Here is a 27213-nt window from a genome sequence, read left to right on the forward strand (position 1 = left end):
ATGGTGGAAGTGGAGTGACACCCCCCTGAGGTCTTATGTGAGCTATGTCCTTTAGCAGGAATCATCACTATGGTTCTGGTAGAGTTCACATGGACAGCAAAGCCCATATAGATGATTGCATTGGGGTAGGATAAGCCTGAGAGATGGTTTCTCTGGAGTTTTGGAAGGTCACCAAAATGGCCTGTGAGGACACAATGGCTTTCAGAGATAGTTCCTGTTGAGAAGCATTCTCAGGCCGGGCGCCGTGACTCACGCCTGTAATCCCAGCACTTTGGGAGGCAGAGGCGGGCAGATCACGAAGTCAGGAGATCAAGACCATCCTGGCTAACACGGTGAAACCCCGTCTCTACTAAAAATAAAAAAAAAAAAAAATTAGCCGGGCGTAGTGGCAGGCGCCTGTAGTCCCAGCTACTCGGGAGGCTGAGGCAGAAGAATGGCGTGAACCCGGGAGGCAGAGCTTGCAGTGAGCCGAGATTGCGCCACTGCACTCCAGCCTGGGCGACAGAGCCAGACTCCATCTCAAAAAAAAAAGAAAAAAAAAAAAAAAAGAAAGAAATTAGCCGGGCGTAGTGGCGGGCGCCTGTAGTCCCAGCTACTTGGGAGGCTGAGGCAGGAGAATGGCGTGAACCCGGGAGGCAGAGCTTGCAGTGAGCCGAGATCCCGCCACTGCACTCCAGCCTGGGCGACAGAGCGAGACTCCGTCTCAAAAAAAAAAAAAAAGAAAAAGAGAAGCATTCTCAACAGTCTTGGTATCATGATGAAAAGTTGTGTCAATCATTGTAAGACGTCTCACAAGTCATCTACTACTGCTATTATTTGAAATGACAAAATGGTCATTTTGTCAGTGATTTAGTTTTTTCAATAAATTGCAGTGGACTTGAGATGGTTCCCATATTAATGACATTCTTATTAATTTGTATTCTGCTATATTTTCTTGAGTGGGCAGAGATTGTACCAGCACACTAGAAATCATACATAAACCTAAGTACATTCATGAAAGTGGTTGCACATGTCAGCGTCATCTGTCAGGTGTGTCTCTGCCAAGGCGGAGAATGGTGGAAATCAAAATTTCTGCTCTAGATTTCAGGGATGGCAGAAACTTCTCTCATGGTTTGTCTGTGTCTCATTGCCAGGCATTCAGTGTATATTGCATGCCTGCTACATGGCAAGCACTATGTCTGTCATTGGTCTACTGGGGTCTGGGTGGAACGTTAGTGTTTCTGAGAGTGGAAGGTACTACCTACTAGTTCAAAACATATTAATTAAACACATAACATGTTCTAGACTCTGTGGATATAGAGATTAATCCCCTATCTTAGAGGTTTTGAGAGGTTCTCAGAGTCACTGATTCTGTAGTTTGATGAACTCAGAAATAAACTCTTAGGATTTGGTGTATCTCAGAGATATTTCACTGGAGGTTTTGCTAGCATACCGTTGATTTTAAAAAAGAAAAACTTGGCTTTCTGTAACTATTAAAACTCTATATAGTGTAGAGCACATTTCCGTTGTTTGTATCTAAGAAAACAAGCTCACATCCAGAACCATGAAGGCAAAGATAGGAAACTTTAGGAATGCCTTAAGAAAAATATCTTCAATCATTTTAGCAAATTTGCTGATACCTTTCGACCATGAATAAAGACATATAAAAGCTAAGCATCCCGTAGAAAAGAAATGGCTTTCAGTTCCAGTGAATCTGTTAACAGCAAGCAAGCCATTTAGAATGCTGGCATTTATGATCTTAGTGTGCTCAGCATACAAAGTATTAGAGACTTGTAGTCATACTATCAGCATAAGCTTCAGTCTTTACAATGACGCTGGACTCAGTTCTGCTGAGAATTAGTATTTATACATTTACACCTATGATATTTCATTTCATGTTTTTATTTTTATTGTTTTGTTCTTGGAGCAAAGAAGAATGTGTCAGGGGCATGTGTCTTACAAAAGGAAAATAATCTTGGAAAATAAAAAGAAGTTTTTATCGTGCTCTATTCTGGGCTTACAGATGCTACCGACAATACTAACTAAAGTGTAAAACAGGTGAAGGAACTGGGGAAAGTGGACAATGAGGGTTGGAAAATAAGTCAATGCACATAGCACAGGCTATGTTGTCCTAAAGCTTTGCTGAAGTTGTACAATTTTGTCTCTTAGCTTTCTAATAGTGAGTGAAAATAGGGGGAAATGGTCATCCATGTGAACTAGTGTTCATTTGATTGAAATAAAACAGTTACTAGGGGTAACCATAACTAACACTGGTTTTGGGGACCAGAGGACTCTTTCTTTCTCTGTGGTTTCTCATAAGAAATGTATGGTGAAATGCAATAAACATCCTCAACAAAGCTGTTATAGTAAATGCAACTGTTTCCATGAAGGTTTTTCTTACGGTGCACTCTTAATGTAATCTAAGAGCATCAAAGTAAAGCAAGATTTAGTGAGAGCATATATTCTTGGGCCAAAAGGATGTGGTCTGGTTTAATCTTCAGGCAGAGTTGAAAAGTGCAGTTGGACCCATCTCTCAGACGGGCTGGTCTCTTTGAATAGCGTTCTCTGAAACGAGATTTGATAGGTGGTGTGTGGCAATTAAAGGTTACCATTAGAGAAGAGATTTTTGGCAAAGTGCAGATCCACATATGTGAACACTCCGCTGAGCCGGGATGGGTGGGGCACTGTCTTACAAAATCTAAGGAGTCCTGCAGAGAGCCCACACCATCACACTCCCCTGCAGGGAGAGACCAGTGAGTCCCTGGTACCTGTATGTTGCCTTACCTGGCAAAAGGAACTTTACAGGTATGACTAAAGTAAGGACGTTGAGATAGGGAGGTTATCCTGCGTTATTCAGGATGACCCAGTGTCATCACAAGAGTCCTTAAAGGTGGGAGTGGGGGCCGGGCGCGGTGGCTCACGCCTGTAATCCCAGCACTTTGGGAGGCCAATGCGGGCGGATCACCTGAGGTCGGGAGTTCGAGACCAGCCTGGCCAACGTGGAGAAACCCCCATCTCTATAAAAATACAAAATTAGCTGGGCATGGTGGCGCATGCCTGTAATCCCAGCTACTTAGGAGGCTGAGGCAGGAGAATCGCTTGAAGCCGGGAGGCAGAGGTTGCAGTGAGCTGAGATCGTGCCACTGCACTCCAGCCTGGACAACAAGAGCAAAACTCCATCTCAAAAAAATAAAAAAATAAAAATAAAAAAGGTGGGAGTGGGAAGTAGAAGAATCAGAGAGAGAATGAGAGAAGCTACACTGCTGGCTCTGATGGAGGAGGAGGCTGTGAACCAAGGAAGCAGGTGGCCTCTAGATGCTGGAAGAGGCAGGAAATGGATTCGCCTCTTGAGCTTTCAGAAGGAATACAACCCTGCTAAGACCTTCATTTTAGCCGAGCGAAACCCATTTTGCCCTTCAGACCTCTAGCAATTTAATATCCCAAATCTGTGTTTTGAGCCACTAAGTTTGTGTTAATTTGTTGCCACTTATGGGAAACCGATACTACCACTTTCCTGGGGCTGCCTCTCTCCCTCCCTTTTCATTATGGCCCGCCAGCAGAGGCCTGAAGAAAATCAAAGTAGCGAATTGCAGAACTACGATTCGTACCTCAATTTGGCTGATTCCAAAACCTCTTCTCTTTCCATTCAACAGCCCAAAATGTTGGGAGAGCCAGCCCAGATTCTTCAGTCCTTCATTTAACAAATATTTGTTCAACCTCTACCCAGTGCTCAGCATAGATGTTTTCAAGATCCAAAAGACGGGCCCAGGTACATATTTGCTAACTTGGTGTCGATGAGATGACAAAGAAGACTAAACCTAGTAATAGCTGGGGCAAAGTTTCCTAAATAGGGTTATGTAAAGTGTGTAGCCCTAATGGCACCAAGACTTCTGTCCGAGTTTCATCAAAGGCTGAGATGGGGAATTTGCAGACAGCATGTGAGGAATACCAAACTTAGCTATGGTTTTAAGGAAACCTGAATACAGCATGGAAAAATAATTCAATCTGGAGCAGGATACACTCTCATTGGAATTGCCCACTGCCTCCATGCTCTGTCATATCTTTGAGGACATTGTTTTCCTCTGACAATAGCATGACAAGATGGCCCCAAATGGCAGTGCTCTTAATAAGATCTTTAGAAACTGGTTGAAAATTGGGTCACAATCCTTTAAAGGAAAAGTAACAAAATAGGTAACAGAATGAGACTCATGTTGGGCCTCGAGTTTTGTTGCCAGTCCCGTTTAATGAGCCTTGTTGATAAAGCTGCTATGACTCTGAGTCTCTTAATCCGGGTGTGCTCAGTTTCTGGAGAGTGGCATTACTGTTCCTGTGAGGTTATTTGCATTTGTGTCTGATATCTGATGCTTTGCAGTTTTCAGAGTCCTCTTACCTTTATCATCATATCATCTGAGCAGAGATTACTATAGGCAGTAAGCAAGCATCATTCCCATTTTACAGAAGTGGAAGCTGAGGGTTAGAGAAAATGAAGTGAACCTAGGTGCCAGCATGTGCCCCGGCTTCCTGACCCCATTTGATGCTGTCACTGGTCCACCACCTCCAGCCAGCCCCTCGAGGAACATGAGATGCGCCTCTATTCTGTGCCTTTTCAGAAACTGTCTCAGGGAAGATGAGGCAAGATCAGCACTCTGCCCTCCAGCCACCCTGACCTTCTCACTCTACTCAGAACACTCTTTATCTTATGGTGTACTCCTAATGTAATCTAATAGCATCAAAGTAGCAAAATTTGAAGCTCTGAACCTCTGTGCCTTTTCATATGCTGTTTTTTTCTTTCCAAAATGGTATTCTCTCCCAATTCAGATGTAAGCTCCTCTGGGAAGCCATACTGTCCTCTCTTGTCTGGGTAGCCTTAACCCTTTAATAAAAGCTATAGGAGAATCCTTACAGCCTTTTATTTGTCTATGGTTTGATATGGTTTGTCTGTGTCCCCGCCAAAATCTCATCTTGAATTATGGCTCCCATAATTCCCACATGTTGTGGGAGGGACCCAGTGGGAGGAGTCTTTCCCATGCTGTTCTTGTGATACGGAGTAATTCTCACAAGATCTGATGGTTTTATAAAGGGGAGTTCACCTGCACAAGCTCTCTTCCCTGCTACCATGTAAGACATGACTTTGGTCCTCCTTTGCCTTCCACCATGATTAGGAGGCCTCCCAGCCATGTGGAACTGTGAGTCCATTAAACCTCTTATTCTTTTTTGTTGTTGTTGAGATGGAGTCTCACTCTCTCAGGCTGGAGGGCTGTGGCGCAGTCTCAGCTCACTGCAGCCTCTGCCTCCCGGGTTAAAGGGATTCTCACGCCTCAGCCTCCTGAGTAGCTGGGATTACAGGCCCGAGCCACCATGCCCAGCTAATTTTTGTATTTTTAGTAGAGATGGGATTTCACCACGTTGGCGAGGCTGTTCTCGAACTCCTGATCTCAGGTGATCTGCCCGCCTCGGCCTCCCAAAGTGCTGGGATTACAGGCGTGAGCCACCGCATCTGGCCAAACCTCTTATTCTTTATGTTACCCAGTCTTGGGTATTTCTTTATTAGCAGTGTGAGAACAGAATAATACATGGTTCATCCTCCCAGCAACATTTCATGGGCAGAGTTATCATCTACTGAAGGCTGGGTTGTTTGGTAAGAAGAAGACAGGCAAACCTGAATCCAGTCTTCAGCTCTGTCATTTAATAGGTGGTGGGGGGACACTAGGCAAAGAACTTAGTTTTTATAAAATGAAAATGGTAACATTTACCTCACGTAAGGATTAAGGGAGAAACACAGGGCTTAGCAGACTACTTGACATATAGTCTATAAATGGTAAGAAGAGAGGAGATGAGGCAGAGAAGAAAGAGAGCAGAAGGGAGGGAGAGGTTTCTTTATATTCATAGTACTGGGTACCTATCAGTGGCTGAATAAATGTTTATTGAATTACTCCTGGCCAAATATTTGATGCAGAAAAGGTGCTGCTTCCATGTATGTGTCATACTCCCTGAGATGATGAGAATGACATTTTACCTTTCTGATATTCTTTCCCCAAACCCATAACCCTAATTTAATCATGATAAAACATAGTACAAGCCCAAATTGAGGGAAAGTCTATAAAATACCTGACCGGTACTCCTCAAACCTGTTACGGTAATGAAAACCATAGGAAGAGACTGAGAAACCATCACAGATGAGAAGAGACAAAGGAGCTATGAGAAATACACACAAAATGTGGTTTCCTGGACTGAAAAGGGCCATTAATGGAAAAACTGATGGAATCAGAATAAAGTCTGCAGTTTAATTAACCGTTTGGTACCAGTGGTTTGTTTTGTGTTTTTTGTTTGTTTGTTGTTTTTCTTTTTTTTTGGAGATGGAGTCTCACTCTGTCACCCAGGCTGGAGTGCAGTGGCTTGATCTCGGCTCACTGCAACTTCTGCCTCCCGGCTTCAATCGATTCTCCTGCCTCAGCCTCCCAAGTAGCTGGGACTACAGGCGCCCACCACCATGCCCGGCTAATTTTTTTTTTTTTTTTTTGTATTTTAGTAGAGACAGGGATTCACCTTGTTGCCCAAGCTGGTCTCGAACTCCTGACCTCGGGCAATCCACCAACCTCGGCTTCTCAAAGTGCTAGGATTACAGGTGTGAGCCACCGTGCGCAGCCCCAGTGTTGTTTCTTTAGTTTTGATGTGTACCATAGCAATGTCAGGTGTTGGCATTAAGGAAGTATGGGCAAACGGTATCTTGGAAATCTCTGTATAGTCTTTTCAACCTCTCGGTAAAACTAAAGTTATTCCAAGATAAAGAGTTGGAGAGAAACACGGAGTGACAGACTATTTTACCCAGAGGATTCCACGAAGGCAAATGAGTTTTCAAATTCTTTCACCTCTAGGCATATTCTCCAGCTCCACCATGATGTGGTCTTAGCTTTCCCTACCATGAGGACAATTTAGAGACAACCTAAAGACAGCTGTAACTTCCTCTAGTCTGGTCCCAATTGCAAGTCACAGGAAGGGCTGGAAGAAGCATTCCTGGATCTCTACCGGGCTCAGATGAGATTTTCTTGACAGGCATCCAGCTAAGACATTTGGGGAAAACACTAAGCAGGCTGAGAGAAGCTTCTCTGATCACCACAGCCTGGGCTGGACCATAGACCTTGGAAAGGAAAGCAGAGCTTAACTTTCAGATGGAGTTAAATTTGGTAACCACTCAATGATTAAATTCTATTCGTTATGGATGAGGCATTTCCCAGTGTCATTCAAACTATTTAAAAGGATAAACCACACAAGGGAGGGGAAGAATCTATAAAGGGGGCATTATGAGGCTTTTCCACACCATCTATGTGCCTGAGCACTTGTGGTCCTCCCTGAACCAACATCATCTTATCATTAAGCCACAACAGCATGGAGCAAGTGACGATCTTCAGTGGCTGAAGGATTTGGACATGCAAGATACACTCATACAGTTTTAGCAGAAAAGACAAAACCATCTACAGCATCACCGCAGGAGTATATTTTGTTGAAAAGAAAACCATCATTGACCCTAAAAGGCACCAGTATCTACCCAGTTACTCAAGTCAGCAACCCAAGAATCATGGTTTGCTCTTCTTCAACATGCTACAAGTTTCCAAATCCTGTGATTCATTCATTTACTTATTCACTCATTCAGCACATATGCAGTGAGGGCCTACTCTGTTCAAGACATTGAATTAGGCGCTAGGAGTTCGGTAGGGAATAAGACAGATTCTCTTCTTTCAATGAGAAGCCCTAGACATTGATGGGCGTATAAATCAAATAGTCACATGGATAACTTTGCCAAGTGCTACACCAGGGAGATACAAGGTGATATGAGTATTGAGAACAGAGACCTGACCTGCACCAGAGGAGGTGAGGGGTGGAATCAGGGAAGGCATCCCCAAGGAAGTGGCATTTAACGCTAATCTGTGGATGATAAGCAGATAAACTGAACAAGGGTGGAGGAGGAGGTTCTTCATGAAAAGTGGTAGTGGGCTGGGCGTGGTGGCTTACGCCTGTAATCCCAACACTTTGGGAGGCCGAGGCGGGCAGATCACGAGGTCAGGAGTTCGAGACCATCCTGGCCAACACGGTGAAACCCAGTCTCTACTACAAATACAAAAATTAGCTGGGCATGGTGGCGTGTGCCTGTAATCCCAGCTACTAGGGAGGCTGAGGCAGGAGAACTGCTTGAACCAGGGAGTCGGAGGTTGCAGTGAGCCGGGATCACACCATTGCACTCCGGCCTGGTGACAAAGTGAGACTCTGTCTCAAAAAAAAAAGAAAAAGAAAAAAAAGAAAAATGAAAGTGGGAATAGGCTTTCATGAGAGGTGAGGGGGGCTTCATTAGAAGTGGAGGTGGGCTGGGCTTTCATGAGACGTGGAATGGGGGTAGGCCTTCATACAAAGAATTCCGGACAGGAGGGCGTTTCTTACATCACCTAACTCTCCGTCTTCCATTCACTGCTGTTTTACTTCTGGCCCCAGTATCTCTCCCCAGGTGATTGCAGCAGCTATTCAACAGGCTTCCTCATTAGTTTCCTCTCCTTATTCTTTTCACTCCTTACTTGCAACCAGAATGGTTCTCCACACATACCAATCTGTTCTTGTCACTTCCTGTTGCGAATCCACAGCGGCTCCCATTGTTCTCAGGACAAGTTCAGTCCCCTTAGCTTCTGGACACACACGGCTCTCATTATCTAGGCCCTTGCCTTCCTTTCTCTTTCTCTCTCTCTCTGTCCACTTTTCCTCTATTTCTCCTTACTTCAGTAATACCGAAGGACTTGCAGCCTCTGTAAGGTGTGTGGCCCTTGCCTGTTCTATAGAAGCTTTGTAGTCTGCTTCTGTGGACAGAATTGCTGCTTATAAGCAGCTGCCCAGCCAGAGACTGCATTTTCAAACCATCCTCCCTGCCCCCTGCCCTAGTACCTAGCAGGGCCCATGCATCTGAGTTTGGACCAACGAAACATGGACAGAGGTATGCGATGCACATCACTTCCAGGCCTGCCCCGTCCTGTGAGATCCTCTATGATCTCTCTTTCTTTCTCCCCAGTTTTCTGGTAGGTGTTGAAGTCAACCTGGGAAGCCCGTGTTAAAGATTACAGAGGCTTCATCGGCCTGGGACCCTGAATAACTCCACTCTCTTCTCCTATCCCCCGTCTCTATCCAGTCCCTGCATTTGAGCTTTATGTGAGCAAGGGAGAAAAAAAAAAGAAGCTTCTCTTATCTTAAATCACTAAGATTCCAGGCCCTTGACATCACCTACCATGTGTTAGGCTTTTCTGCATCCCAGACTGCATCCTCCTCATCCCTTCATTTTCCTAAGATTAATGGCCTGGGCCCTGGAGTCAGTCTATGTCCAAAGCTTACCACCGCGAGCAAAATACTTCTCAGTTTGCTCATTCACGTCATCGGAATAATAACAATGCATTTATTCCTCAGAGGGTCTCTGTGTATGTTAAATGAGCTGATGCTTGGGAGACACTAAACATAGGACCAGGCATAAAGTAAGTGTTAGCTATCTTTATTATTGTTATTGTTATTACTGTTAAGTGTTGGTTTGCTTTTGTTTTTTTAATTTCATTCCCCCAAACCTATAAGCCCCTCCATCAAAGCAACTGGTTCTTTTTCTTTTTGTGTCTGGTTCCTGCCACGTCGTAAATGCAGTAAATACTTGTGAATCAAAAAGCTGTCACAAGCCAATTTTTTCTATATTCTAGAAGAGTTATTTGCTGAACTAAGGAGAGCCCTGCCAACTGAGTTAATCCCAGGGGGAGGAAAAATCATTCCCAGTGATCTTGTAAATTTAAATCTATTAAGCAGTCTTTGGGGTTCTTTCTCATGCTATCCAACAGTCTGAATAGTCTTTCCAGATTTTTTGGCTGCCTCTGGTATGTAATATTCATTAAATGAGGTCCCCTTTTCATGGCCCCTGTGGCTGTCCCAGCATCACTCCATCCATCATCCCATGGTCCAGCTGTGCTGAGTCCACTTCCTTCAAGGCCCCAACTAGCAGGCAATGCATGGGATCTCAGAGCTAGAAGGGAATTAAGACATACACTCACTTTTGTCAGTCAAGTACTGTGTACTAGACTCTTCAAACATGCTGTTCATGGCTGGGTGTGGTCGCTCACACCTGTAATCCCAACACTTTAGGAGGCCAAAGCAGGTGGATCACCTGAGGTCAGGAGTTCAAAACCAGCCTGGCCAACATGGTGAAACCCCATCTCTACTAAAAATACAAAAATTAGCCAGGCGTGGTGGTGGATGCCTGTAATCCCAGCTACTCAGGAGGCTGAGGCAAGAGAATCACTTGAACCCCGGAGGCGGAGGTCACAGTGAGCCAAGATCATGCCTTTGCACTCCAGCCTGGGCAACAAGAGCAAAACTCTGTCTCAAGAAAAAAAAAAAAATGCTGTTCATTTAACCCTCCTAAAATCCTCCCTGTTGAATAGTATGTGACAGAGAAGAGAACAGAGTATGAGCTCTAAAGTCAGACTCCTTGGGTTTAGTCCCAGCTCCATCTTCCTAACCACACTAAGACTCAGTTTCTTCATCTGTATAGTGGAGGTGATGTTAGTGCCAGCCTTAGGTATTACTTGTGAACTTGGGGCAGTGCTTGGCACATGACTGAACACCCACTGATTTCTGAGACTAAGAGTTTCAGTGTTATTTTCTAGGCTATAATGTTAATTATAGTCAGAGGATCCAATTTGAACTCAAATATAGAGAGCTAGGGACCCCCGATTCAGTGCTCTTGACACTATACCACACAGTGGCCTCAGAAACACCTGCACCTCGCTCATTTTTTCTGCCTGTCCCACCGTGAGCCCCAGGATAAGGGAGATTTCACTATGGCCAGATACCTGGTCCCCAGGGTCCTGCAATAATGGGAAACAGAAGCCCTGAAAATTTAAAGAGAACTAAATGGCTTTATCATGTCTTTCATGAATAATCAAAGCGATGAGGATTAACTGCATCTGCACATCAGCAGGAAGGGCTATGGCTGGGGACTCACTGGAATGATTAAGACCCTCTTTCCCTAACTGCTGACCCTGGGAAACAGGCCTTTGCCTTCCAAAATGTCAGAGACATTTCTGAGATATGTTGTGGAACGAGGGCCCCGCCTCCTTGCTCCCAGAAATCTCTAATGCCAACAGCACATGACTGGATTCCTCATAGCAGCAAAATGCCTTAGGTTAAAAATATGTAAATATATAGATCTAAAAACACCTCTTCCAATCCACGTCTATTGCTGAAAAAGCATCACTCATTCTTTATTTTAATTGTTTTTATCTCCTTGACCGTAAATCATGATTGACTCAAATGAACTAACTTTATTATAAATATCGTATAGGTGAATTTGGCCTCTGTGACAGATTTATTTATGCAATATTAGTTGAATAAATATATAAGCTCAGGAAGACAGAAGAGCTAAAGTAGATTGAGCTCAATAATTTCCATACATTGTCTATAAGATACTATCGCACCTCATTTTAACAGAGGAAACTGAGACACAGAGAGGTTAAGTAACTTATTCCAGGTCACACAGCTTATAGAGAGGAAGAGCTGGCATGTGCACTCTCTTTGAATACAGAGCCCATGTGTTTAAGTGCTAGGCTGGGCTGACAGGTAGGCAGTGCTGAAAGAAGCCCTGCCTCTGCCTAGAGTGAGATGGAAGGGATTTCACTCCACGGGTTTTGTTGGTCGACTTTGCCTCCGTGAGTTAAGGATTGCCTGGGTTTTCCCAGGAGCTGAGGAAGAGGGGAGGATCTTTAGTTGACACAGCTGATTTCTCAAGGGGTCAGGCAGATTTGGTGCCTGGAGCTACCTTGATGTTAACTATCTGGCTGAAATTAAACCCCAGGCTCCCATGTTCATAAATTAAACCTCAGGCTGCTGTGTCCATAAATTAAACTTCAAGCTGCTGCATCTATGAAATTAAACCTCAGGCTCCTGTGTCCATGAAATTAAACCTCAGGCTGCTGTGTTCGTGAAGGCAGGGATGGTGTGAACCCTTCATCCCCTGTATCCCAACCACTGATCTCAGTACCCAGCACATTGGTGCTGCTTCGGAAATATTTGTAGAAGAAATGAAAGAATCAAGGGAAAGAAGACAGAAAAGGGCCAAAACCAGCAGTATGTACATTATAAAAATGGTATGAAACTTAAGGGTCCAGATTCTGGAGTCAGAGCTGGTTTTCATGCCAGCTTCTCTGGTTTCCAGGTGACAGAGCTTGAGCAAGTACTTTAACTTCCTTGGACTTTGTTTCTTCCTCTATAAAGAACAGGTCTAATACGTATTGTATCCTTATTATATGGCATTTTAAAAAGGGGGTCTTGTAATGGACTTAGATGCTCCCTGGCACATAGAAAATTCAAATGTTAGCTGCTATTATTCCTATTATATCATTATTATCACTGTCTCATTAGACAATATTACCCAGCGATACTTTGGCATTTACAGCCAGAAGCAAACAGGTTAGGTTGACGGTTGAAACCTAGAGCGAGGGGCAAAGAAAGCCGATCTCATCTCCCTTGGTCTATCTTCCCTGACAGCCGCTGCTCCATGCTCTATGAACTGGTGAGATTGTCTCAAGCCCCCTTCCAAACATCGCTTTCCTTGACCACATATGAAATAATTAGACTTTAGGGAAAATTTAGCTCTATAGTTCTGGCCCCTTGGATACATGCTGAGAACTCCAAACACAGGGACTACTCTTGGCCGGGTTTATATGACTCTGGGGACCCATCCACTTTCCCAGTGACATACCCAAAAGGCCACAGTTGCTTTTCAGATTATTATTGCCTTTATTAAGAAGAAAAATCAGTTCAGTTGGGAAAGGGAGGTGTGTAGCAAGAAGCAGCCTCGTTGCCTTTGAGGCGCGTGGTCTCTGTTCTCACTGACACCCACCAGGATGTTGGCCCTGGCCCCCCATCACCCAGGCTGGCCACTGGTCACTCTGATTGTGTTCATTTTGCAGCTCATGTCATGGCAAATTTGGCAGTTTCCCTTTTCCTTGCACTCACCCCCCTGCTCTCAACATGCCTGGGCGTCCGACTCCACGACAGGATAGAGAGATTAAATTTGAGCACTCCCTGCCCCTCACACAAGCTATGTCCCTCTCCCCACCGCAACAAACTGATCTATACTTCCTGTCTCCTTCCCTTTCCCTCCTCCTTTCCCTCCCTGCCTCTCTGTTCCTTTGTCTTTCTGTCCATTTCCATCTCTCTTTCCTTTTTTTTCACTCTTTTTCTGTCTCCCTTCCTCTCTTTTCCGTTTCCTTCTCTCCTTCCTTCCTTTCTTCTTTTTCTCTCTCTCATTTCTTTCCTTCTTCTTTTCCTTCTCTCTTTCTCTCCTTCCTCCCTTCCTCCTTCTCTTTCTCCCCTTTATTCTTTCTCTCCACCCCCCACCCCCATCTCTTTCTTTCAGCATCTGTCAAGTACAAGCCCTGGGGGTAACTGTGTTGGTCTCTGGGTATTCCATAGTGAGCAAACTCAGGTCTCATCCCATATTCCTGAAGCCTGCAGTCCTGTGGATATGATATAGACTTACAAAGAGGCGCATTAGTCATCGATGGCAGTGGTAATTGGTACTAGAGGGAGGAGTAAAAGCTGCCGCAGAACATGAGGACGTAAGTGCCTGGTCTAGAGGACCCAAGATGACTGTGCTCAGGGACTAAACTGAGGACTGATGTCTGAAGGAGGGGGAGGGAATGAGAGGTGAAGGGAATGAAGGGGGAAAGGATACAGTGTTTTAAGAATGGGCAACAACACGGCCGGGCGCGATGGCTCACGCCTGTAATCCTAGCACTTTGGGAGGCCGAGACGGGCAGATCACGAGGTCAGGAGATGGAGACCATCCTGGCCAACACGGTGAAACCCTGTCTCTACTAAAAATACAAAAAAATCAGCTGGGCGTGGTGGTGGGCACCTGTAGTTCCAGCTACTCAGGAGGCTGAGGCAGGAGAATGGTGTGAACCTGGGAGGCAGAGCTTGCAGTGAGCCGAAATCGCGCCACTGCACTCCAGCCTGGGCGACAGAGAGATACTCCATATCAAAAAAAAAAAAAAAAAAAAAAAAAAAAAAAAAAAGAATGGGCAAGAACATGAGACCTGGGCATTTGACAAACTGACCAGAGTATGACAAGTGAGAAGGAGAATAGAGAAAGAAATGACAGTAAGTGATTGGGTGGTACACAACCTTGGGGCGGGATCAGCAATCTATCTTGTCATGGGCCCTCCAGGAGACTCTAATGCATGCTCAAGGTTGAGAACCACTGATGCAGAGCACTTAGAACAGAACCTGATGCTCAGCAGTTCAATAAGAATTAAATATCACCCTCATTGCATGGAGGTGCTTTAGAACATGCAAAGCACATTAAATATGGATTTAAAGAATGTATTGATCTTCAATGTCAACCCTGAATGAGTGTATGGTCATTTATGTCTATGATGGCATAGAGTTGAGAGTCTTTGGGGTGAGACTGACCTATATTTGCATCTTAGCTTCCGCACCTTGCTGGGTGATCTTAATCAAGCTGCTTCATCTAAGACTCAGTTTCCTCATGTGTAAAATTGGCAAAACACCTCCCCTCCTAAGGTTGCTGTGAAGTTTAATGAGATAATCTATGGAATCGTTAGCTCTCCAAGAGAGCCTGCAGTGAGTGGTGGCTGTGATTATGCCAATATCATGCCCTGCATCAGAGATAAGAGGTAACAGAATCATTACCTTGTACACGTTTTAGTGTTTGCTCATAAAAGCAAATGGGCAGTCCAGCATATTAGGTGGGGAGGCAGGGAGGCAGGTAGTCAGGGAAGTTCTCATAAAAGGGCACACGTGAATGGTTATTTCGAAATCTTTCAAAACCAAACCTATGACCTCTTCCCCTTTTAAACATCTCTGTATGCTGGCCCAGCTGGTGGAAGGGCTGACCTCTCTCTGTAGCATAAAGCTAGTAGTTAGAGTATCAGGAGCATTCCATTCTTGTTGTAAAATAACAAGAAAAACAACCGATAAAGAGTATCTAGATGCTATTCATCTTCTTCAGTTTCTTTTTTATTTTGTATCCATAAAATCTGTCTGGTATTCAGATCTGTGCTCCTCATCCTAGGAACACTCATTTCGTTTTGCATGTCAGGAGAAAATACTACAGACCAGTTGTATTTGTAAAATACACAGCAACTTAGTGATGAATATGTTTACTCCCGTGGTAGGACAATGCAGTGGTTAGGGCTCTGGACTTGGCAGATACGTGTTTGATTCCTGGCCCAGCTATTTGATGATTGTGAGACCTGGGGCACATTCCTTCACCTCTCGAAGTCTCAGCTTGCTCATTTGTAAACACTCATTTAATGCATAGGGTCTAGAATGTAATGCATACTTAGCTATTTTTAACTGTGGTATTGGAAATCATCTTATTACACAATCCAGCATGGATTTCAGAAGGCAAATATTCAAATTACATAAACATGCTTGTTATACACTTTTTCACTCCTCTTCATCTTAAGGGTTATGGTAACTTTAGCTTCAAACCTTAAGCAAGCTACATGGATTTAAAAGTTAACTATTAAATCAAATGGCCTTGTATGCACCAATAACATGTCATTTTTTTGTTTGTTTGAGGCAGAGTCTTGCTGTGTTGCCTGGACTAGAGTGCAGTAGTGCAATCGGGGCTCACTGCAGTCTCAACTTTCTGGGCTCAAACAATCCTCCCACCTCAGTCTCCCAAGTAACTGAGACTACAGGCTCATGCCACCATACCCAGCTAATGTTTAAAAACTTTTTGGTGAGATGGGAACTCACTATTTGGTCCAGGCTGGTTTTGAACTCCTGGGCTCATGCAGTCCTCCTGCCTTGGTCTCCCAAAGTGCTAGGATTACAGGCATGAGCCGCCACACCTGGCCAATAACACATTTTTTATGAGCATTGAGAAATGTTCATATATAACTCTCTCATCGGGCAGGAATGCCTGGGTGTATTTCCTCCTTGTTGACCCATTACACATGACAGATTGTCACCCTCCTAATGGTAGTCATGGGACACTGGAAGCGTAAATTACTACCACCTCTTCTGTCTCACAAATGTCAGACTTTGTCCACGGTACAGGAATGTCCTCTATGTCAAAGAGCTGACAATTCCATCACCCTGTCTCCTGGAAACTGCTTTTTAGAGTGGGCTTCATTGTTCTGACAAAGGGAGAAAGGTGGGGGCTTCCTACATGATTGAAAAAGCCTGGAAACTATTTCCTCTGGAGATGATCGTCCTGAGCTCTACATGGGGGTGGAACATGGTGGCAAAATGCGAGTCTCAACTGGTGCAAGGAAAAGCCTGGATTTCACTTTTTCTGAAAGACTTAGTGGTGTCTAAGCCTTTATCCATCAGGAGAAGCTACCAAGGGCTTTCTTTTTTTCTTTTTCTTTTTTTTTTGAGACAGAGTCTCGCTCTGTTGCCCAGGCTGTAGTGCAGTGGCACGATCTTGGCTCATGGCAAGCTCCACCTCCCGGGTTCACGCCATTCTCCTGCCTCAGCCTCCCGAGTAGCTGGAACTACAGGCACCCGCCACCACGCCTGGCTAATTTTTTGTGTTTTTAGTAGAGACGGGGTTTCACCATGTTAGCCAGGATGGTCTCAATCTCCTGACCTGGTGATCTGCCTGCCTTGGCCTCCCAAAGTGCTGGGATTACAGGCGTGAGCCACCGCGCCCAGTCTACCAAGGGCTTTCAAAACCAGTCTGGTTGCTCTTTTCCAAGGAGAAAGTCTAAAAACTCTTTCTGGGCCCTGATGAACCTGAGAGCCATTGGAAACACACTCCTGTAGATCTATAGATGGGTGCCCACTCAGTGTCTGGCCCTGTACAAGGCCCTGCAGAGACGAAATGGGTAAGACACAGTGCTTGCATTGAGAGGGCTCCCAGTTCCCTGGAGGAGACCAACGAGCAACCAAATATGTGCATGGAGTGTGGAGTCTGCAATGACAGAACCAACGAAAGTAATTCACAGGAAAAAAATGATTAATTCCTGTGCGGAGTGGGGGAATGATAGGTTAGCAGAGTTCTTAAATAGGAGTTTTCTAGGTAGCCAAGAAACATGGCACAAAAGCCCAGGAGAACATGATACTTTGAGAGAGCTGTAAGAATCGGGTATGGCCAAAGCCAGGGGTAGGTAGTGATAAGTGACACAGGCAGCCAGAAATAAATCACGAGGGCCCTGGTTCTTACTGTAATGTCAGTTTCCTAAAACACCTCTGCTCTCTCTACTCCCAGCCCCACTAATTGAGTTTTATTCACAACTCCTTGGATGGATAAACTGATGGATGAATGAATTCCAAGATAATACCAAGTAGCAATTTTTCAAATTTTACCATGTAAATTTGTATGCATAATATGTATGTAAAATTAAACAAGGAAATGTATTTTTCCCCGTTCCATTTTTGACAAGCATGCTGCTCAGTGCCTTGCATTCGTTATTTTATTTCTGCTCACAACTCTGTGAGGTATAGCGTATTCTCATCAACTCATTTTGAGATTTAAGAACTCAGAATTTACTGAAATAAAGCCAGTCACCCAAAGTCACAAGATTGGCAAAGACAGAGGTACAATTCACACTCAGATAGGTCCTTCTCAAATCCTGTGTTTTAAGCCACAAAGATAGGTCAGGAAATGAGAAAGGGGACAGCAGGTACGGGTCTACCCATCTGCTCATTGCCTCTGCCCACTCAACTATTGTGGGAGCATCAAGGTGACCTTGCTATGGGCTGTTTTTTCAATGGTTTATAGGGTCATGTTGGCCTCCGAGAAGCCAGCTGGGCAGTGGGAGGGCAGGGGTGAAGCTCATGGGGCTGGCAGGGTGGTAAGGATGCACCAGGATGCCCCAACTTAAAGAGGTGGGCACATTACTCCCAGATCTCCAGAGCCCCAACAGAAGGTTGACCCCCAGGAGAGATGCTGGATTTAGCAAATACAAATTTTATCTGGCAAACCTTACTTCCCAGGAACCCCTGAGTTCTCCTACAGAAAGTTCTAAACATTCCAGGGAATTAATTACACCAGTGAGGCTGAAAGCCAGGATTTGAGTTGATTAGGAGACACGTCCAGTCAGGAATGCATTAAGAACGGGAAATATTTTAAGCCTCAAGAGCAGCAGCTAAAAGGAGCCCTGTTCTCTAGAGCCCATCCCCACGATGAGAAAAAGGCTGTATTCAGTGCAGACCTGGACCCCCCTTCACAGGGCCAAACAGAGGCCAGTCTACTCCCTGTCCCTGATACAAACTGGTCCCTGATAAAAACTGGTCTAATATTTGCATACAACCTATGCTCACTCAGGGTCCCTCCCCAGCCATGCGACCCCACAGCATGGGGAGACAATTAGACCCAGAGGTCTGGGCTTGTGGAGGAGGACCAGCAGAGAGACCAACCTGCCTCTGCCTTCCTCTGCCAGGGAGAGCAGGAGACAGGTGGTGGACCTTCTTGGGTCACCCAGCAGATCTTTACTGAGCATGTACTATGAGCCAGGTGGCATGCTAGGTATCTGGAATACAATGGCAAACAAAATAGTCACTGTCCTCAAGGACCATCTGTAAGGGAGAAAGGCACATAGCTATACAGCAAATATATACACACACACACATATACATATTATACATATAGTATGTGTGTGTAAATAAGATATAGCCAGCCCTTATATTATGGGTTTCATATCTGTGGATCCAACCAACCACAGGTCAAAAATATTTTTTGAAAATGGATACTTGCATCTGTACTAAACAGGTACAGACTTTTTCCTTGTGATTATTCCCTAAACAATATAGTATAACAGCTTGTGTACATAGCATTTACATTGTGCTAAGTATTATAAGTAATCTAGAGATGATTTAAAGTATACAGGAAGATGGGCATAGGTTATATGTAATTATTACACCAGTTTATTTTTTATTTTTTTTTATTTTTTCTGAGATGGAGTCTTGCTCTGTCACCCAGACTGGAGTGCAGTGGCGCTATCTCAGCTCCCTGCAACCTCCGCCTCCCAGGTTCAAGTGATTCTCCCCCCTTAGCCTCCCAAGTAGGTGGGACTACAGGTGCCCACCACCACGCCTGGCTACTTTTTGTATTTTTATTAGAAACGAGGTTTCCCCATGTTGGCCGAGCTGGTCTCAAACTCCTGACCTCAGGTGATCCAGCCGTCTTAGCGTCTGAAAGTGCTGGGATTACAGGCGTGAGCCACCACATCTGCACTACCAGTTTATATCAGAGACTTGAACACCTGTAGATTTTGGTATCTACAGAGGGCTCCTGGAACCAATCACACAAGGATACTGGGGATGGCTATATATACACACAAACATATACACATATACACACACGATAAATACGTGTGTGTGCATGTGTATATATATATATGAAAGGATCAAGATGCTATCATAGAGAATATCAGGCAGAGAGACCTACTGCACATTAAATCATCAAAGATGTCTTCACTGAGTGGGTGACATTTAAGCAGAGATAAGGAGGCAGTTATGTGAAAAGCAGGAAGAAAGCACTTTGCAAAGCTTTTGGAAATTGCAAACATCCCAGACAGGACTTGCCATCAAGATTAAGTCATTGGAAGAGCATTTTCTTCCTAGTCACAGAGCTTGCTTGCTAAGATCTAGCCTGCTGGCCATTGGGCTGTGTAGCAGACACAGCCATATCCCCATCCCTGAGGTCGGCGCTGACAGTCCCCATTCACACAGGCAGATGCCCACAGCTCTGCCTGAGGTTGTTTCCTGGTTTGCAATTTGGCCCATGTTCAGGCAGGTTGCAAGAGCCCTGAGTTAATGCCACAGGCGCATCCCTCAGCAGGTGCGGGATAAGAGTGTGGCAGTATGTTCCTGAGTGTGCTCTCCCCCTCTGTGGGACAGTTAGGAGGTGTGTTCTATGTCACCTCTCAGAGGGGCCCCACTAGAATAGAGCTTTGTTGTTCACAGGGGTAAGCCACTTTGTAGGCTTTCCTCCCTTCCCCGCCTCACCACCCTAACTCGTTCATCTGACTTCCTGAGACCCATTCCAACTAAACTATATGCACCCACACTTTTACCCTAGGGTCCACTTGTGGGGAAATTCAAACCCTTTGAACAAGTCTTTGATGATCAGCCAAGATGAACACAAACACCTCTCCTCATCATCCCCTTCCCCAGTCGCTTTCTCTCCAGCCCAGCCTGTCCGCTCATCCTCTCCATGTAATTCTGCACTGTCCAACCGTCCACCCTGAGAGCCAGACTAGCTCCCCTTTTTCCTCTGCCTGGCAAGTTTCTATTCACCATTTAAATGTCACTTCCTTTTGGAAGCCCCTCCCGCTCTTCTGCCTCTATGCCCTCTACATTATCTTTCTAATATTACCCTTATTAGATTCATCTATCTGTGCATTCATCCATCTGTCCATTCGTCCATCTGTCCGTCCATCCATCCAGCAGCTATGCCTTAACTGCCTCTATATCCCAGGCACTAATGTGTGCAATTATCCCGGGTCTTCCTGTGCTAGAGGGGTCTTCTTGAAATCAGAATGGGCCTTAGCATCTCTGTGCTTCCACCACATATCACAGGGTCTGGGATGGAGTGGGTGCTTGGCAAGTGTTGGATCAAATTAAATGGATGAACTTTGCCTATCCTATGTAATGATAATGAGGTTCTTAATTACACAGGGGGAGGATACATTAGTATGTAGAATTAATAAGTGAGTACATTGTCATCAACATGTGAGCTACATGTAGACACAGTTTCATTACTGAAAACAGCTTGTAAGCCATTATGCCAGTGACTGCTTGATTTCCCAATACCAAAGCAGAAACAGCCCCCAGCAGGTTCCGCTTGATCCCTCAGTGAACCACAATGACAGAAATTCTTGCTTTGCTGCCCCAAATATTTTCTTTAGAATTTTACTGAACCCTTTGACCTCACGATTTCATACTGGTAGGGCTGCCGTATACTGATGAAAGACAGGATGCCACCTTCACTACTGGCAATATCTTCTAAAGAGATAACCAGAGAGTTAGTCAAACAGCCAGCCAGTCTCTATGCAAACATTGAGCATCAGCAGTTCTTCCAGCAATGAGCTAGACACAAAGTATACAGTCATAGGTAAGATGGACTTAGACTCTGGCTTCTGAAACTTAGAATCAAAGATACTTATACAAAAATGTTCACTGAAATACAGTTTATAATACTATAACACCATAATTTCTTGTCAGATAGTTGGTTAAAAGGAATTATGGTATATCTATATAATAGAATATTCCATAGTCATTCAAAATGGGGTGTTAAATAATTTGTCATTACCCACAATAATGCTCACAATGTAAGCTTAGAAAGAAAAAGATAATCAGGGTATATAGTGGTGTATTCAGTGTGATTCCAATTCTGTGGATAAAAAAAATTATTGATAATACATATTAGAAAACTACTGTAACAGAATAAGCCAAATTATTTAGAGTATCTCTGAGATATGGCATTGTAGTTGACATTTTTATAGTTTTCTGTATTTTCCAGATTTCGTGATTTACAATGGCATAAATGTGTTGCTTTCATAATAATACTTTTTATAAAGAGCTTAGTAGAGGTCAGAGTAGGTCCTTCTGCAAAATGCAGCATTTCATTCTCTGATGTTTAAGTGTATCAGGAGAACTTACTAAAATGTTCAGAGTTTTTGCTGCTCTTGGAGAAGTAATTGCTTTCAGTCAGGCCAAGAGCTTTTTGGAAATGAGAAAGCAGGAAAAAAAAAAAAAGCTCTTAAACTATGACTGATGTGCCTTTACTTCTTTTGTTGATTGTGACCTGCAACCACTAAATAGTGGCCAAAAGCAGTAGGTGTATGAGAGGAGGAAGGGAGACAGAAACCAAAATAATCACCTCTCCCCCGGTCTTCCCGTGCTTCTGACGTATAAACCTGTGGTCCTGGAAACGTATTGCCCTCATCCTGTGCTAGCTGTGTACTTCAAAACTTCGGCAAAGTGCACCACCATATTTTAACCCATGGGTGCATTTCATTTTTGGTACAACTGAATATGCATGTCCTGCCTGTCCATCAGAGTGTGGACATGATAGAGCTCAAAAATGCAGTGTGACGTGCAATACCACTTGCTGTGAGTACTAAATTGAGGCTGTTGCCTGAGGAAGATCACCCTTTCACTGGACCATGTAAGAAATTCTTCTTGTGCACATGCATCAAAAGGGCCAGGTCAGACCACTAAGAAGTTCTAAAGTCGAGTGGCAAAACCAAGTGTCAGTGACAGTAAGTGTCACTGTAGAGACTGTGAGATGTTGTTGTGCTGTGGTTGTGAATGGCAATGTAATCTTGCCTGCATTTTTAGTGTTATTTGAATTTTTATCAGTCAAGTATGCTACCCAAAAATTGTGTTATACAAAAGTAGGCTGTCAACAAAGAAATATCAAGAACTGCTGATGTTCAAGTGGAAGGAGATGGTTCTGCTGTGCCACGTTTAAGAGGGTTATCACCTTCCAGGCCACCGTCCCCTGGACGTAGTGCCATTTGCCAAAGAGAAGAGTTGAAGGGATTAAACATGCTCAGATTGGAAAAGAGAAGATCCACGGTGCAGGAACGTTGTGGAAATATCAACAGGGAGTAAGAAGGGATATGAGACATACAAACCTATAGTTTTGTGTGTCATGCTTCCTAAGAGCAAAATTTACAGGAAGGCTGTGGACAGCATATTCTAAATAAGACCTTCTAACAATCAGAGGTGCCTCAAAATAGAACGGGCTGACTAGAGAGGCAATTAGTGCTCCATTTCCACCTCATTAGTTTTCATCCTGGAAATATTATAGGAGGAAGCTGAGTCAGGAAGCTCCTCTTGCACCAGGTAGGAGGTTGGAGTGGATGACTCAAGGACATTTTAGGTCCTAAGAGTCTCCAGAGCTGTGTTTTCAATGCTCGTCACGTTGCCTCTGTCTTGGCCCCCCATGTGGGATTGCCCCATGTGGGACTATGCCTGGTCCATGATCTTGCTGGAGAGACAGGTAAGGAGTTGAAGTCCTTACCATTAATATTAGCTGGTACCAGGCAGGGTGTTAAGCCCTTACTGAGGTCATCTCCTTTACTCCTTACACCCACCTTCAGGAGACACGGTTACCATGCACAGGGGCAAAAACGACAAAAACAAAAGTTCTGAATGCTTATGTGATTTGCCCAACGCCAGCTATCCAGTAAACGTGATCAGGGGTACTTCCGCAGATGGTCTGCCTCTAGAACATGCCACCTCATGTTCCCAGAACCTACCCAGTATAGGGCACTGTTCACAGTAGCAAAAACTTGGAACCCACCCAAATGCCCATCAATAATAGACTGGATAAATAAAATGTGGCACATATACACCATGGAATACCATGCAGCCATAAAAAAGGATGAGTTCATGTCCTTTGCAGGGACATGGATGAAGCTGGAAACCATCATTCTCAGCAAACTAACACAGGAACAGAAAACCAAACACCACATGTTCTCACTCATAAGTGGGTGGTGAACAATGAGAACACATGGATATAGGGAGGGGAACATCACACACCAGGGCCTGTCAAGGGGTGGCGGACTAGGGGAGGGATAGCATTAGGAGAAATACCTAATGTACATGATGGGTTGATGGGTGCAGCAAACCACCATGGCACGTGTATGCCTATGTAACAAACCTGCACATTCTGCACATGTATCCCAGAACTTAAAGTATAATAACAAAAAAAAGTAGGTGCACAGTGCATGGCACTTAGGTACGTGGCACATAAATGTCCACTGAATGAAACAAGAAACAAATGTGCAAAATTTATGAGACAGAGAGCATACCATGAAAGGAACAGGGCGTTGCATTACTAAGATGTCAAAGGAGGGGAAAATGTGAAGAAATCATCATTCGTTCATCCATTCATTCATTCATCTCCATGTTTTTATGAACAAATTCTACATGCCTGGCTGTGTACCAGGGGCTCCAGATAAGAGGTCACTGATGACAGCAGTGGTCCTAGTGATACCAGTGTTTGAGCAAGGGGGATGGCTTGGTAAACAATATTAACAGTGAAATAATTTTACTCTTACTACACTCGCAAAGAAAGCCAGTTAACTTTGAAAGTTTGTCATTGATAGGAAACAGCGGGACATAGAGCTTTGAAAAGGGTCCTGTCCTACAAAGAAGGCAGGTCTGAGAATGGAAAGGTGGCAAAGGTGAAATGAATAGAACTAAACATCCCAGTAGGAATTTCTATCTGGAGACCTGGCCACTGCATTCCAGTTCCCTACAAGACTGACAGTTAAAACGTACTCTGATCCAGAAGCCTCCGATGTCACCTTCCAGCTGTGATGGGTCCTGTCCCGCCCAGAACAGAACCTCAGCCGCAGGATCTGAAGTCACAGAAAGAGTCCCGATGTCTGATCTCTGAGGACTGGCAGAAACGGAGCAATGATTTGAGCGTTTGAGTCATTCATGTTCAGGGCAGGTACTTTGAAATGGAATTGTTGATCACATCAGAAGGTGCTGAAACCAAGGTCAGGCTCCTGTTCCTGTTGAGAGGCCTTGTTAATGAGGTGCCTCCAGCAAACATGGACACGCGTGCCAGGCAGGAAGGCAGGCTGCTGAGCTGTGAACACGATAGTCCCAAGTAAACGCCTTTGCTTTCTGCCAGGCACTGCTGCATGCTGGTGTACAAATCCCCGTGTGTAGGGTACAGGCATTGTAGGAGATGGGTAAAGACAGGAGTAGGGGACATGAGCTTACATCTCCTAAGCCCCCACTTTGTGTTTGATTCCGTGTAAGGCTGTATGCACACTTCTCTGTTGTACACTCATGGTAACCTGGTGAGGTAGGTAATATCATCCCAACTTTATAGCTAAGGCTATCAGTTCAGAGTAACCAGGTCAAGTTCCCTCAGGTGCTTAGCAGTAGATCCAAGGATCAGAATCCAAGTCCCACTGATGCTGCCCCTCTGCCCTTCTCTCCTGGCCACCCTATTAATTATTTTCCTTGACTTAATATTAGGATGACTATATGACCCTATTTGCCTAAGACACAGTTTATGCCTGTTGATCAAGGGGAATTAATAATAGCATCCCCTTTCATTCTCAAAAAGAGTCCCAATTTAGATAATAAATTATATGGGCACCCTACACAATAGTAGTTTGAGTCGTTTGGTTTTTTGTTTTTGTTTTTGTTTTCTTTTGGTTGAAAGAGACGCATTTATCAAAACCACAACTTCAAACTGTGGGTGCAAATTGTAATTTGGCTGGAAATGAGAATCCGGCATCCCACCATGCAAATACAGTCATCCAGGAAATGTATCCAAATGCACTACATGGAAGGCAGCCAGCCTGGAAGTGACTCTAATACTCCTGCACTCCTTGATTTAGAGCCCTGTGAAGGGGACTTTGCCATCTGGTGGACTGGACGGCTCCACGGTTGCTGGAGTCCAACTCTCAAACAGTGTGTCAGTCTGTGGGCTATGGGTTGTCCTGTGGCCATGCATGGTGCCCCTCATTTGGAGAGTATTGCTGATGACAGACACAAGCCTTGCTATGGTCTCTACAAGGGTTGATTAGCAGAGTTGCCATGTGCGGTTGGACAGGCTGCACACTGCACAGAAACACCAAACTGTGGGGCAAGCAAGAGATGGCCACACTCTAGTTGCTAGGGCTCACAGCTCTGCCCGGCAACAGATACTAGCCCGTCTTTCTAATTCACACAAAACTGTGGTAGGGTAGAGCAGGGGCAGCTATGGTTACAGATTGAACCTTTCCAACCCTGCCCTGCCACTGACAATCAGAAATCCCAGAGGGTGTGAAAAAAGCTATTTAACCTGGAATTAGTAAACCGAAGACCATAACATGGAATGATACAGTCTTTAGAGTAAGAAGAGCAGAGCTGGCCAGGCACGGTGGCTTATGCCTGTAATCCCAGTGCTTTGGAAAGCCGAGGTGAAAGGATTGCTTGAGGCCAGGAGCTCGAGACCAGCCTGGGCAACATAGTGAGACCCTGTCTCTACAAAAAAAATTGTTTTAAATTACCCAGACATGGTGGCAAGTGCCTGTAGTTCCAGCTATATGAGAGGCTGAGGTGGGAGGATCGCTTGAGACCAAGAGTTTGAGTTTACTGCAAGCTATGATCATGCCACTGTACCTCAGCCTGGGCAACAGATTGAAAACCTGTATTAAAAAAATAATAATAAGAGAGAGAGAGAGCAGGGCCCTATAATCTACCGAGCATCCACTATGCTTGGCACTGTACTAAGTATGCTAACCTGTTTGCATGTGAGTTCGCTGAGGCTCAGAGAGATGAAGTAGCTTTCCAGAGTCACACAGCCTGTCAGTGCCATAGCTAGGCTGCAAACTCCGGTTTGCCTGACTCCAAAGTCCATATTGTCGTGTTTCCCCAGTGCTGAGCGCCATCACACAGGACCCTCGGAGATTCTGCTCCTGTCCTTCTTGTACATTTGAGGGGCGTAAGCTACAGAGCCCTGAAATGGCAAGAGCAGGATCAGAACTCAGGTTTTCTGTTCCTGCGTGTTCAAGGCTCCCTTCAGAGCTAGCTTGCTTTGGGTCTTGTTCTGAAAGCGGGGATCTCCCACAGTCTCTTCCTCCAGGGCCATACTAGTGCTCCTCTCCCCCTCCCAATCTCGGGGCTGCCCGTCCTTATTGCTCAAACAACAAAACTGTGCTGGCTTGACCCTCAAACATACCATGAGGTGAAAGTGGACTGACCTCTCTCTCTCAGCTAGAGCAGAGGAGGGGCTGTCACTGGTGTGTCATCCCGTAGGCCCGGGCTCATGGAGCCACCTCCTAGGAGAAGCTTTGGGAAAGCAAAAGTCACCTCCCTCCCACCCTTGATCCTGAAGCTGCCTGCTGTGCTCCGTGAGGACGGGGTGTCAGGAAACCCAGCTGAGGGGGATCTGATCAGGCGTCTCGGGCACTGGCTGGCAGCTGAGTTTATGTGGGGAGTGGGAGTCATTGTTGCCAGATCACTTCACGAACATGTCCTGTCCCCACAGGCTTAGCAATAAGGCCCCTTGCATTTAAACCTCACCACTTCCAGTTGCTAGTACTTAGACTTTCTGAGCCTCAGTTTCCAATGATCCTGGCAAGATTACTCTAAGTTCCCTTGCTCTTTCCGAGCCTTTCTTCCAGATGGCAATATGATGTTGGGTGGATAGAATGAGATGTGTGTAAAGTACCCAGCATAGTGCTTGACAAAGCGTAACTTACCAGGAAGAGGTGG

The 27213-nt window shown here is 44.8% G+C and overlaps 1 protein-coding gene across 1 annotated transcript in view, besides 3 other annotated features; it reads left to right on the forward strand.

Annotated features, from left to right (window-relative positions):
- The window catches only part of VAT1L (vesicle amine transport 1 like), a 191544-nt gene that overhangs the window by 36938 nt on the left and 127393 nt on the right, over positions 1–27213 (forward strand). The window lies entirely within an intron of this gene.
- Positions 7531–8496: an enhancer, noted in NCBI's record as "NANOG-H3K27ac-H3K4me1 hESC enhancer chr16:77866929-77867894 (GRCh37/hg19 assembly coordinates)". NCBI's record gives its function as "activates a minimal SCP1, AML or CMV promoter by ChIP-STARR-seq in naive H9 embryonic stem cells {active_cell/tissue: H9 hESC(naive)}" and the evidence as "EXISTENCE:reporter gene assay evidence [ECO:0000049][PMID:30033119]".
- Positions 8497–9460: an enhancer, noted in NCBI's record as "NANOG-H3K27ac-H3K4me1 hESC enhancer chr16:77867895-77868858 (GRCh37/hg19 assembly coordinates)". NCBI's record gives its function as "activates a minimal SCP1, AML or CMV promoter by ChIP-STARR-seq in naive H9 embryonic stem cells {active_cell/tissue: H9 hESC(naive)}" and the evidence as "EXISTENCE:reporter gene assay evidence [ECO:0000049][PMID:30033119]".
- Positions 26321–26822: an enhancer, noted in NCBI's record as "H3K4me1 hESC enhancer chr16:77885719-77886220 (GRCh37/hg19 assembly coordinates)". NCBI's record gives its function as "activates a minimal SCP1, AML or CMV promoter by ChIP-STARR-seq in primed H9 embryonic stem cells {active_cell/tissue: H9 hESC(primed)}" and the evidence as "EXISTENCE:reporter gene assay evidence [ECO:0000049][PMID:30033119]".

This window comes from Homo sapiens, chromosome 16 (assembly GCF_000001405.40).
Source record: "Homo sapiens chromosome 16, GRCh38.p14 Primary Assembly".
NCBI lineage: Eukaryota > Metazoa > Chordata > Mammalia > Primates > Hominidae > Homo > Homo sapiens.